The sequence below is a fragment of the Homo sapiens genome, chromosome 2 (genome assembly GCF_000001405.40).
Source record: "Homo sapiens chromosome 2, GRCh38.p14 Primary Assembly".
NCBI classification, from domain to species: domain Eukaryota; kingdom Metazoa; phylum Chordata; class Mammalia; order Primates; family Hominidae; genus Homo; species Homo sapiens.
This window is the reverse complement of record NC_000002.12, coordinates 119,188,979-119,201,993: the sequence shown is the minus strand read 5'-3', so window position 1 is coordinate 119,201,993 and position 13,015 is coordinate 119,188,979. Positions and strand designations below refer to the sequence as shown.

Here is a 13,015-nt window from a genome sequence, read left to right as displayed (position 1 = left end):
AATGAGGAACAACCTGAGGGAACAACGGCTTGGTACCTTCTTGGTAACAGGAGGCAAGGGGACGCTGCTCTGATCCTCTCATATCCCTTTTTTTGTTTTGTTTTGTTTTGTTTTGTTTTGAGGTGAGTCTCACTCTGTCGCCCAGGCTGGAGTGCGGTGGTGCAATCTCAGCTCATTGCAACCTCTGCCTCCTGGGTTCAAGTGATTCTCCTGCCTCAGCCTCCCGAGTAGCTGGGACTACAGGCGTGTGCCACCACACCCAGCTAATTTATTGTATTTTTAGTAGAGACAGGGTTTCACCGTGTTAACCAGGATGGTCTCAATCTCCTGACCTGGTGATCCGCCCACCTCAGCCTCCCAAAGTGCTAGGATTACAGGCATGAGCCACTGCACCCGGCCCTCATATCACTTTTACAGTGCCTGTGCACCCATCACTGGGCTCTGGGTGCTTTGTGGCCCCAGCACCTGTGCCCCTCTTAAATGGCTGGCCTTTGAGGGGGTGCCAGTGTGCTGAATGCATGCACAGACGGCAAGAGTGCTGGGAGCTGGTGTCCTCCTGGGGCAGCCCTGAAACAGTGGCTGACTGGAGCCGGGGTGTGAGAGCCCAGCTCCCTTGCCTCAAGTCAGTGTAATTTATATCAAGCCGAGGCTGGGACTTTGCCTGGAGCATGATTTTCTTAGTATCTTCCCTCCAACTCTGAGTCCCTTATCCGGTTCTCCTGGGCACATCCTCGATCAGTTGCATAAATGCTCATCTCAGGGTCTGCTTCGGGGGAACCCACCCTAGGGCATCCAGTGAAGAAAAAACACAAATTACCGTCTACTTCTGATGCTCCTCCAGTGAATGCAATGGATATGTTGTTTCAAAGCAGGTTCCCAGCAGAAGGGGCCCCTGAGCCCACCCAGGCTCCATTGTCTCAGCTGTGTAGACCAAGCAGAGGCAGCTTCCCAGAGCACAGATGAGAAAGATGTGATGGCTTGAGCTGACCACAAGCTCAGGGAGCCCCTGACGGGGCTCAGCTGCCTTAAGCGAATGCTATCATAGTGGGAGAGGTGTGCTAGCAAAGCCCAGGTCCAGAGTCAGGGAAATGAAATCCCACTTAACCCTCCAAGGTCATATGTCCCTGAGGTTGTGGGTTCACTGGAGACTGTAGTTAAAGAGGGACATTCACAGTCTGGATGGAACCTTCTAGGTGACCTCGTCTAGGATGGTGAAGGGGCTGGAAGCCAAGGTGTGTGGTCCAGGGCAGCTTGTTCTCTAGAGACCAGGAGGGGGACTTGGTCTTTCTGAGGGAAATGGGGAAGGTTTGATAGAGCAAGTAAGGTAGGCACTGAGCTTTGCAGGGTGAAAGGTGTACACCAGGAAGAAGAAAGGGCAGAGATAGCTCAGCCTTTGACTTACTGTGTGACCTTGAGTCATTTTACCTCTCTAAGCCTCATGTTCCATTTACATTAAGACAGGGGCAATAGTTTTATTATGTATTTATTTATTTATTTACTTATTTATTTAGATGGAGTCTTGCTCTGTTGCCCAGGCTGGAGTGCAGTGGCATGATCTCAGCTCACTGCAACCTCCGCCTCCCAGGTTCAAGTGATTCTCCTGTCTCAGCCTCCCAAGTAGTTGGGATTCCAGGAGTGTGCCACCATGCCCGGCTAATTTTTGTCTTTTTAGTTGAGATGGGGTTTCACTATGTTGGCCAGGCTGGTCTTGAACTCCCGACTTCAAGTGATCCACCCGCCTTGGCCTCCCAAAGTGCTGGGATTATAGGCAAGAGCCACCGTGCCTGGCCCACTTATTTATTTATTATTTTGAGACAGGGTCTCATTCTGTTATCCAGGCTGGAGTGCAGTGGTGCGATCCTGGCTCACTGCAGCCTCTGCCTCCCAGGCTTAAGTGATCTTCCCACCTCAGGGTCCTGAGTAGCAGGTACTATAGGTGTCTGCCATCATGCTCAGCAAATTGTTTGTATTTTTTGTAGAGATGAGGTTTCACCATGTTGCCCAGGCTGGTCTTGAACTCCTGGGCTCTAGCAATTCTCCAAACTTGACCTTCTAAAGTGCTGGGATTACAGGCAGGACCCACTGTGCCTAGCCAGTATTACTTAATTCGTAGGGTTCTTGTGAATATTAAATAAGCTATGCATGTGAAGAGCTAAGACACAGCTGGGCATGTAGCAAGTGCAAAGATAACATTAGCCATTGCTGGTATACTTGTATGATGAGGAGCAGAGGGAACTAAAGATTGTCCACTTGAAAAACACCTACATGTAGGTCAATGCCCAGGTGAAATGGGAAGATCTGATGATCACCTCATTACTTCCCCCATCTTTGACTTGGCCAGCCCCCACTTTGGGCATCCCTGTCTGTGCCGTGTCATGGATGCTGTGGCATGTTGCCCAGGTCCCCATCTGCACACAGGTACTCATATCCCTGGCTGCTGGAGGAGCAATGGCTGCAACCCTCTCTGGGAATTAATTGCTTTCCACTGAAGGCAGATGTATTGCCCCAACTCACTCACACCCTCTCTGGGAGCAGCCCACATTCTAGTGGATGAGACAGGGGTAGAGGCCAGCCCTCTTGCCTCCATTTGGTACAACTCTGAAAGCCCATCCAGTTTCAGAGCTTCTCATGGGTTCTTCTGAGGCCTCTGGTGGGACTGCACCTTGGTTTAACTTCTCCCTCTGCCCACTTTTGCTTCTGTCATTCCCTCGCAAGTGACAACTTCCTGCATGCAAACCCGACCTGATGCATTTTCTCCATGTCTGTCTGTTTATTTGTTTGCTCCCACCAATAAAACTGGAGAACTTCTTGAGGGCAGGGGCCATGGGTTCTTATCACTGTCTCCAGCACCTCCTATAGAACAACACAATGCAAGGGTAGTCCAGAGGAGAAAGTGCCCAGATATAAGGAGTGGCTTCCAGGGGAAGGTGGCTTCTGAGCCGCGGTGGTGCTAGCCCTGTGTGCACCCACTTGACTGTCTAGCTAACACAGAGGGCTGGGCTTGTGTGAGGGGCTCCAGGACACATATCCATCAGGGGTCTGTAGGCTCTTAGAGAGGGTGGCAATCATCAGCTCTCAAGGCACTCCAAGGGACACCGCCCAAGTTTCAGTGAGGACACCATACAAAAGGAGAGAAGTGTGGGCAGCTGATTCCAGCAGTGCAGCATCCGGCAGGAGGCAAAGCTGACCCTAGAGCCTCTACCTGAGTGGGCAGGAAGATTGAGGCCCAGTGACCCATGGTGCAGCCTCTGGTAGAGGAAGTGTGGGGAGGATGGTGAAGCCTTTGCAAACACACATGTAGAGCTGAGAAGTTCGGACAGCTGAACACACAGATTTGGCAGGCATAGGGAGAGATAAGAGTGAAAACCACAGGAATCCAGCTGAAAAATGTGGAGTGAGAGGAGAGGAAGGCTGAAGATCCAATTGGAGGTGTGAGGAGAGGGGAAGAGAGACCAGAAAGGAGAGCTGAGGAGGTCAGGAGGGTGTGAGACGGGAAGGGAAGTGGGGTCAAATATTGCTTGCAGGTCAAGGAGGCAGAGGCCAAGAGAAGCCGTCGCACTTGGCTCTGGGAGGCCCCTCATGGCCTTGGTGGGGCTGGCTAGGGCAGTCGTTCAGAGTGCAAGTTTTATAATCTGAGCTGAGTTTGTGCTGTAGATCCTGTGTGGCCTCAGAGAGGTCATTTAACCCAGAGGTCCTGGGTGGAACAGGCACTTCTTTTGTGGGTGTGGCTGTGGACACCCAAGTCCTGGCCACGGTCCATGAGAAACCAAGGGAAAAGGTAGGGTCTGAGAACAACTTACATGTTAACGGGAAAGGAGCAGGGCCGGATGGTCCTACGGTAAGGTTTCAGCTAAGAAGCAGACAGTATTCAGTAACAGCTACTGTGAGCGACAGATTCTGACCGGATGGGCTGCACCAGCAAGAGAACGTACGTGCAACTGATGTGTTCCAGCAGCTCACAAGAGGGCTCTACCATGTCCTGATGACTCCAGCATAGCTTTCTCTGTCCTTTCATCTCACTAACCATACAGAAAGCCACTAATGTGTGTACCCAACCATACTGCTTTGATTTTTTCGTTGCATGACATGTGTTTTAATAGACATGAAATGCAGATGGGGTGAGGAAAAACTGCTTCTGTAAAAATTCCTCCTTTCTCCATTATTGGCTTGCTTACTCAACTTGCATCTGTATCTTCTAGTAAATTGTTTTGCTCTCAGAGTTTAACAAAAAAATTCCTTTCTTATCATGTTTGGAGAATTGCAATGCTTTTCATTTTTTGTAAAACCAAGGACACTCCTATAATTCATTTTGCATGTAGCTGCTTCGTGTAGGACAATCTGTCTTTAAGGAGGGATACAGCACTTTAAATAGAGTTTTCCCTTTAAATCAAGCATCTAGTTATTTAAAGAAAGTTATTGATTCTGGGGATTTAGGTTCTGTGGCTCGGGGGGGAGGCCCTGGCACCTGTATTTTGAACAAGTGAGTTAAGTGAGTGCAACGCCGCAGACACCCACGAGCCTTTGGGACTCGCTATTCTCATCTAGAATGGAGAAATTGAGTGGCAATCTTGCATGTTTGACCGAACTTGGGAGGCTTCATTTTGGGGTGCCCCAACTTGTTTTTTTAGAGAAATAGAAAATGTTTTAAACACCAGCAAGCATCTAATACAGCTTGCAGACAAGAAGTTACAAGGAAAGGCAAAAGCACAGCTTCTGCTTTGATGCATTTTGCAAACCAGGGTGGGGAGGGTGCAGAATGGGAGCTTAGGCTGAGTGCCTGTGGGGGTGGGGGTTGGGGCTGAGGTCAAAGTCCAGGCCTAAAGCTGCTGAGAGGCACATCTGATTGGCATTTTGACTCAACACTATGGATTTTTTGCTGAAGGATTTGCGGGGACAGGGAAGGGATAGCTCCCTCCATCCTCCCCTCACCCCCTCCACCAGAAAACCAGTTCTTCACCTCAGGGCTCTGTCTTAGATAATCATCACTCCAACTTTCTGCCCATCAAGGTGCAAGGAGGAGCTTGGTTTGGTGGGTGTGCTGAGGGTTGAATGGGAGGATGTAAATTGCAGTGACCAAGACATGGATGGATGCTCTTGCAGGCGAAAGCATGTGGTCTTCACACATTCCCCCTCCTCCAGCCTCCCACTGCCTGAGGACCAGCCTCATCATCCCAGACACCGGAAGAACCAGGATCCTTCCCTGGCCAGTGCCCCCAACTTGGAAAGACACAGGGGTCCTGGGTTTGACATTCTGTGACTCGAGACTGCCCTCCTATCTTCCCTCTCCTCCCGCCCCAGAGAAGATTCAGAGTCTTTTTCCTCTCTCTGTTCAGGATACAAAGGCTTTTCCATTGTCATGGGTAATTTTGAGCTCTTTTCAAGTGTAAGTTTCTCATCAGCCCTAAGCCTGACATCCTTCCTTGCCTGGCTCGGGAGATTACTCAGAAAGCAGGATGCCGGACAACAATAGCCCCAGGAACAATTCCACTCCTTCCAGGCAGGGATCCATTTTCCAATTATTTCTTTATCCTATTTACTTAATGACCAAATCTAGTGCCATCCCATGTTTCACAGCCATGAGCAGCCCCATGATGAGGGGAAATTGTTCACACCACTGCCAATGTGGGGCCCTGCCTCTGCCAGCCTAGAGGGACCAAGAGAGGCTTCCAGGCTCTCTTCTCCATGCACCTGGGCATGGGCCACTGCTTCCAGCAGCAGCTTTCCCCTTCCCATGTTCAAATCTGCCCTGCCTACTCCTGAGCTCCCCCCTCCATAGCAGACCCAACATAGTGGTCCCAGCCTTACAAAGCCCTTCTCATTCTGGCCCCTTTCTCTCACCTGCACGGGGCTTTCCCCTGCAGTCACACCTGTTGCCGGTGGCTGGCACTCCCCATAGCAAGCTGAAAAGTTCTGTGCCAAGCACTTTCCCAAGGATTGTGTCCTTTAGTCCCTACAGCAACCACAGAGATCAGAGAGGTTAAATGACCTCTCTGAGGGGAATAAAGAGGGGAATAAAGAGGCAGCCTCAGTAGAAATCTGCCTTCCTTTCTTTCTTTCCCTTCTTCCCTCCCTCCCTCCCTCCTTCCTTCCTTCTTTCCTTCTTTCCTTCCTTCCTTCCTCCCTCCCCTCCTTCCTTCCTTCCTCCCTCCCCTCCTTCCTTCTTTCCTCCCTCCCTCCTTCCTTCTCACCTTCTCTCCCTCTTCCCTCCCTCTCTCCCTCCTTCTCACCTTCTCTCCCTCTTCCCTCCCTCCCTCCCTCCCTTCCTTCCTTCCTTCCTTCCCTCTGTCTCTTTTGCTCTTTCTCCTTCCTTCCTTCCTTTTCTTTCTCTCTCTCTTTCTTTCTTTCTCTCTCTCTTTCTTTCTTTCTCTCTTTCTTTCTTTCTCTCTCTCTCTCTTTCTTTCTTTCTTTCTTTTCTTTCTTTCTCTCTCTTTCTTTCTCTCTTTCTTTCTTTCCCCCCTCTATTTCTTTCTCTCTCTCTCTTTCTTTCTCTCTCTCTTTCTTTCTTTCTTTCCCCCTCTCTCTTTCTTTGTTTCTTCCTTTCTTTCATTCTGACTTGTCTCATTCTGTCACCCAGTCTGGAGCGCTGTGGTGCGATCATAGCTCACTGCAGCCTCAACCTCCTGGGTTCAAGCCCTCTGGAGTAGCTGGAACTACAGGTGCAGGCCACTATGCTTAGCAATGGAATCTGTCTTTCCAATCAGCTCTGGAAGTGATTCTGAGATATCAGGTTTGGGAGCCCATGGACATGATGTTGCAATCTGTTGCTGTCTTTTATGTTCCCATTGCCTGTCTGGTCAAGGTCCTGCTGGGCGCTTCCACCTGCTTTTTGTCCACCTGCAGCCGTCTCTCCAGAGCTGTGGCTGCCTGGGTCATTCCCCTCGATCATTCCCTCTAACCCTATTTCTGAATCTAGCCGCAGGCCTGGCCCGGCTCCTGCTCTTTTGCTTCCAAGTTGCCTGTTCCTTTTATTCACTTAAAATAAAATCTATCTACATACATAAAAATTTACATTTTTGATGAATGAATTTTGGCATAATCATGTAATCAATCATGCCCATCTTTGAGATACAGAACAGTTCCAATTCCCCCCAAAATTCCCCCTTGCTGTCCTTTTGTAGTCAATTATTTCCCTAGCCACTAGACCCTGACAACTACTGATTTGTTCCTATAATTTTACCTTTTCCAGTATGTCACAACATTGAATCATACAGTATGTAGTCCTTTGGGCCTGGCTTCTTTCACTAAGCACAGTGCATTTGAGATTCATCAGGTTGTTGCCTATATCACCAGTTTCTTTTTTTGCTGTCTAGTAATTCATTGTATGGATGTACCATGGTTTGCTTATTCATTCACCAGCTGAAGGTCATGTTAGGTTGTTTCCAGTTGGGGTGAATTATAAATAAAGCCACTATAAACATTTGCATACAGACTTTTGTGTGAACATATGTTTTATTTCTTTTTTTTTTTTAAGTACACAGGAGTGATGAGAGTGGATACCCTTTCCTTGCTCCCAATCCCAGAGGATAGCATTTAGTCTTTCAACATTAAACATGATGTTAGTTGCATATTTTTTTGTGGATGCCTGTAATCAGGTTTAAAAAAATCAGAATTGATAACTTACCAGACAACAGCAGAAAATCTTGATCCTCAATTAACTTTGAAACCTTGTTGTGTGCATGGTTTCCATTTAGCTTCCTGAAATGTTGAAAATAACTTGTTTCCTCACTGTTGTCTGAGAGCTGTGAGTACTGGCAATGACTACAATAAGAGATGAGTCAAGGATGACTCCAAGACTCCTAGCCTCGCTTTCTCATATGCTTCCCTCTCCCCCTCCCTCCCTCCCTCCCTCCCTCCCTCCCTCCCTTCCTTCCTTCTTTCCTTCCTTCCTTCCTTCCTTCCTTCCTTCCTTCCTTCCTTCCTTCCTTCCTTCCTTCCTTCCTACTGTTCAATCTCCTGAAGCTTCTTGCTTTCTTCCTCTTTAGTTCCAGGCTGCTGAAGCAATGGCCCTGATGTTGCTAATGCTCCCAGTGGATCTCTGCTATTCGGCCCACTGAAGCCACCTCTCTCTCTCTCTCTCTCTCTTTTTTTTCTTGGTGACAGGGTCTTGCTCTGTCACTCAGGCTGGAGTGCAGTGGTGTGATCATAGCTCACTGCAGCCTCAAACTCCTGGGCTCAATCGATCCTCCTACCTTAGTCTCTTGAGTAGCTGGGACTACAGGCATGTGCCACCACCCCTGGCTAATTTTTATATTTTGTATAGAGATGGGGCCTTTCTATCTTGTCCAGGCTGGTCTCAAACTCCTAGGCTCAAGCTATCCTCCCACCTCAGGCTCCCAAAGTGCTGGGATCATAGGTGTGAGCCACTGTGCCCCACCAGAAGTTTTAGATTTTTTTGAGCTGTGTTCTGAACGATTAATATGTGGACTCTAAGGCCTCATTACAAACTATGAGGTATTAATGTCTGTATTTTCCAAATAGACGAAGTTCAGAAGGGTGGGTGGCTTGCTCAAGGTCATCTAGCTGGCCAGCAGCGGAGAAGGTGTACATATCCTCAGGGCGTGCAACCACCTTGCCAAGGTAAGTTGGCACTCAGAGCTGATGCCATTATACCCCAACGGAACTTAGCAAGTGGGTTGAGCGTTTGCTATTTTTTTTTTCTTAAAAAGCTTATATTTTGTTGAATAAATAATAATTCATTTTCATTGGTGGCAGACGTAGCTTGATTGGTTTCTATTTTTCCATTAACTGCCTCCTACTGCCACCTTAAAAGCAGAAGCTTTTGGCCATCTTTGGTGCCCTCCTGAGCCACCGTCACATTTTTGTCCCTTGTATGCCCCCGAAGTGTGCCCTGGAAACTGACCAGTCTGCCTCTGCCCATCCCCGCCTGCATCCTCCACGTATGTAACCTGCTGCCTCCAGGTGGTCATTTAGGCAGAAGGGAGGGGACATCACAGGCCCAAGCTCCTCCGTGGCCACTTGATGTGGCAGGGGACCTTTTTCCTGAACTAGAGAGTCTGAAAAGAAATAATTTCAAGATAGTAACATGAGCATGGGCAGAAATCTTCCCCTTTTGGGCCATAATCAGAAAAAAGAAAGATAGGAAAAATGTAAGAGATAACAAATACATAATTAGATTTTAAAAGAAGAGGCAGGGCACTGTGGCTCATACCTGTAATCCCAGCACTTTGGGAATCCAAGATGGGAGAATCACTTGAGCCTGGGAGTTTGAGACCAGCCTGGGCAACACAGCAAGACCCTGTCTTTACAAATAATAATAATAATAATAATGAAGTATGCATGGGACTCAGAAGTTAAAAGCAATGAACTCTATTAATAGCTATCAAACTTTTTAGTCTTGGCAATCTTTTTCTCTCTTGAAAATTATTGAGGACCCCAAAAAGCTTTTGTTTACATGGGTTATATCTACTGATATTTACAGTATTAGAAATTAAAACTAAGAAATTTAAACAATCTTTATGTGAAAATAACAAAAATAAGTCCATTGCACATCAAAATACTTATGTTAATATAAATAGCATTTTTGTGAAAAATGACTATGTTTTCCAAGTACAAAAATTTAGTGAGAAGAGTGGTATTGTTTTACATTTTTTTGCAGATCTCTTTTTCTTTCTTTCCTTCCTTCCTTCCTTCCTTCCTTCCTTCCTTCCTTCCTTCCTTCCTTCCTTCCTTCTTTCTTTCTTTCTTTCTTTCTTTCTTTCTTTCTTTCTTTCTTTCTTTCTTTCTTTCTTTCTTTCTTTCTTTCTTGACAGAGTCTCACTCTATCATTCAGGCTGGAGTGTGGTAGTGCAATCACAGCTCACTGCAGCCTTGACCTCCTGACTCAGGTGATCCTCCTTCCTAGCCTCCCGAGTAGTTGGGATCATGGGCACACACCACCACATCTGGCTAATTTTAAAAATTATCTGTAGAGATGGGGGTCTCACTATGGTGCCCAGGCTGGTCACAAATTCCCAGGCTCAAGCAATCCTCAGTGCTGGGATTATAGATGTGATCCACTGCACCTGGCATCTTTTACTTCTGGCTTGCTAGAAGATAGCTGGATTCTCATATGGGCTTCTGTTTTCCGTCTATTGCACTTTACGGGTAATGTAATTTCTTGAAAAGGCCACACCTCCTTAGTGTGACTATGGAAATAGTTTTGCATTTGTGGATTCCCAGAAACCAGCCTCAGGGACCGATTCCCTAGATCCCATTTTGAGGACCACTCCAAGTGGATCAATAATGACCAAAATAAACTTATTTTTAACAACATTTTTTATTTAGTGTTTTAGCTTGGATTCCACCAAAAACCTGAGACAAAGGGACTGCATTTGAGTCATTTATTTGGGTCCATAAATCTAGGAGTCAAGAGTTGGAGGACTGGGAAGAATGAAACAAGGAAGTAGGAAAAGCCCATCCAGCCATGTGTTAAGCTACTGTTAAATTAAATTTAGTGGCCTGGCGCAGTGGCTCACGCCTGTAATCCCAGCACTTTGGGAGGCTGAGGTTTAGTGGCCTGGTGCGGTGGCTCACGCCTGTAATCCCAGCACTTTGGGAGGCTGAGGTTTAGTGGCCTGGCGCGGTGGCTCACGCCTGTAATCCCAGCACTTTGGGAGGCTGAGGCAGATGGATCACCTGAGGTCAGGAGTTAGAGACCAGCCTGGCCAACATGGTGAAACCACCCCCTCTACTAAATATACAAAAATTAATTGGGCATGATGGTGCACACTTGTAATCCCAGCTACTCGGGAGGCTGAGGCAGGAGAATCACTTGAACCTGGGAGGCGGAGGTTGCAGTGAGCCGAGATCATGCCACTGCATTCCAGCCTGGGCAACAAGAGTGAAACTCCATCTCAAAAAACAAAAAACAAAACAAAACAAAACAACAACAACAACAAAAATCAAATTTAGCTTAAAGCTTCCTCCTTACATATTTTAAGTTCAGCCTAAAGGTTTCTCTGTGCATAGTAAACTATAGCCTACAGGGAAATGTAAACAGGCTGTAACGTACTCTTGTGTCAATCACTGAGTTTTGGCCAATCAAAGGTGGCCAACTTTTCAAACTGTGTTCAAATAAGGCAAACGACGAGCTGCGACCCATTCAGCTGTTTCTGAACCTCACTTCTGTTTTCTGTGCTTCACTTTCCTTTTTCTGTCCATAAATCTTCCACCAGAGTCTGTCTAAACCTACTCTGGCTCAGCAGACTGCCCTAGTCACGAATTGTCCTTTGCTCAGTTAAACTGTGTTAAATTTAATCTGGTTAAGGTTGTTCTTTTAACACTGGCCATTGCTGTGGGCAGTCGGGGCTCAGTTTAACTGAGGACTCCCAGAGAAACCATGTAGACTATGCCTTAGACTGAGGGCCTAAGACCTCGAGGCCTGGCATATTTATTCATTGGCTTCCTTCTCCTATTGGGCAAGGATTGCTCCAGGGAGGGTTGACTCCCTGGCACTTCAAGATTTGCCTGTATACCGTGATGCCTGGGGCAGAAAGAAAGACATACCTGGTGCAGCTGAAGTGAAGCTGTCAGGTTACACCTGGGGGCAGCTTGTTGCCACAGCAACTCTTGTGCAAAAGGCAGGCTAAGAGTGTGAAATGGGGCTAAAAGATGTCCAACACATTATGTGGGAAAACCAACTTGCAGAATAATATGTGCAGCAAGACATCATTTACGTTAATAATAAAACCACCAAACTAATAGCAAGTATTTTCCGAGTATATATATATATATATACCTGGAAGCTGACCAGCCTGCCTCTGCCCATCCCTGCTTGCATCCTGCAGGTATGGAACCTGCTAACTCCAGGTGGTTATTTAGGCAGATACATACATATATATGATGTATATATTTGTATATGTTTACATATGTATATACAAATACATTAAAAAGTATTGGATTTATACACACCAAGTTTCAAGGGAAGAGATATTGATTGGGAATATGGGTCATTTAAGATAATGTTAGTTTTTTTTAATCTAATTTCCTAATCTTTCTTTATCGCCAAAGCTCCAAAGCAGAAGATTAGAAACATACGAGATTCACTGAAGTTAATTCATAGAGTTTGTTGGTTTATCCTTTTTCTTCACGGGGACAGCACAGGGGGTCATGCCCAGGCCAAGCAAAGAAAATGGCTTATGGAATTGTGGGTACCCACAAGTCTTAGTACGTCTGTGCCACTGTAACAAAACACTTGAGCCTGGGTAGTTTATAAATAATGGAAAGTTATTTCTCACAGTTCTAGAGGACGGAAGTCCAAGTTCAAGGCACTGGCAGGTTTGGTGTCTGGTGAGGGCTGCTCACTGCTTAAAAGATGGCACCTGTGCTGTATCCTCTGGAGGGGACAAATGCTGTGTCCTCACATGGTGGAGGGATGGAAGGTGGGACTCAGCCTCTAAAGCCCTTCTATAGGGCACTAATCCATTCATGACTGCAGAGGCCTCATGTCCTCATCACCTCCTAAGGACCCCACCCCTCGATACTGTTGTGCTGGGGATTTTCAACATGAATTGTGGAGGGCGCACAAACATTCAAACCATAGCACTGAGAGAGCAGCTGGCATCTATCCCTTAGCTGGATGCTAGTCCCCAGGGCACCAGAGTGACTGGCCAATGAGAAAATTGGGAGGCCGGGCACGGGGGCTCACACCTGTAATCTCAGCATTTTGGGAGGCTGAGGCGGGTGGGTCATCTGAGGTCAGGAGTTCAAGACCAGACTGACCAATATGGTGAGACTCCATCTCTACTAAATATATATATATATAAATTAGCCAGCTGTGGTGGCATGTACCTGTAGTCCCAGTTACTCAGGAGGCTGAGACAGGAGAATTGCTTGAATCCAGAAGGTGGAGGTTGCACTGAGCCGAGATCGCACCTCTGCACTCCAGCTTGGGCGACAGAGCAAGACTCTGTCTTAAAGATAAATAAATAAATAAAGAAAGAAAAGAAAATTGGGGGGATAGTGTGGCAAGGGTCCCTGAGAGTGTGGGATTCAAGATGGGCTTTTGCTTATGGAG

The 13,015-nt window shown here is 47.0% G+C and overlaps 1 long non-coding RNA gene across 1 annotated transcript in view, besides 2 other annotated features; it reads left to right on the top strand.

Annotated features, from left to right (window-relative positions):
* Window positions 1-13,015, top strand: part of LOC107985941 (uncharacterized) — a 35,549-nt gene that overhangs the window by 4,656 nt on the left and 17,878 nt on the right. The gene's annotated exons all lie outside the window — the stretch shown is intronic.
* Window positions 4,548-5,385: an enhancer, noted in NCBI's record as "NANOG-H3K27ac-H3K4me1 hESC enhancer chr2:119954185-119955022 (GRCh37/hg19 assembly coordinates)". NCBI's record gives its function as "activates a minimal SCP1, AML or CMV promoter by ChIP-STARR-seq in naive H9 embryonic stem cells {active_cell/tissue: H9 hESC(naive)}" and the evidence as "EXISTENCE:reporter gene assay evidence [ECO:0000049][PMID:30033119]".
* Window positions 5,386-6,224: an enhancer, noted in NCBI's record as "NANOG-H3K27ac-H3K4me1 hESC enhancer chr2:119953346-119954184 (GRCh37/hg19 assembly coordinates)". NCBI's record gives its function as "activates a minimal SCP1, AML or CMV promoter by ChIP-STARR-seq in naive H9 embryonic stem cells {active_cell/tissue: H9 hESC(naive)}" and the evidence as "EXISTENCE:reporter gene assay evidence [ECO:0000049][PMID:30033119]".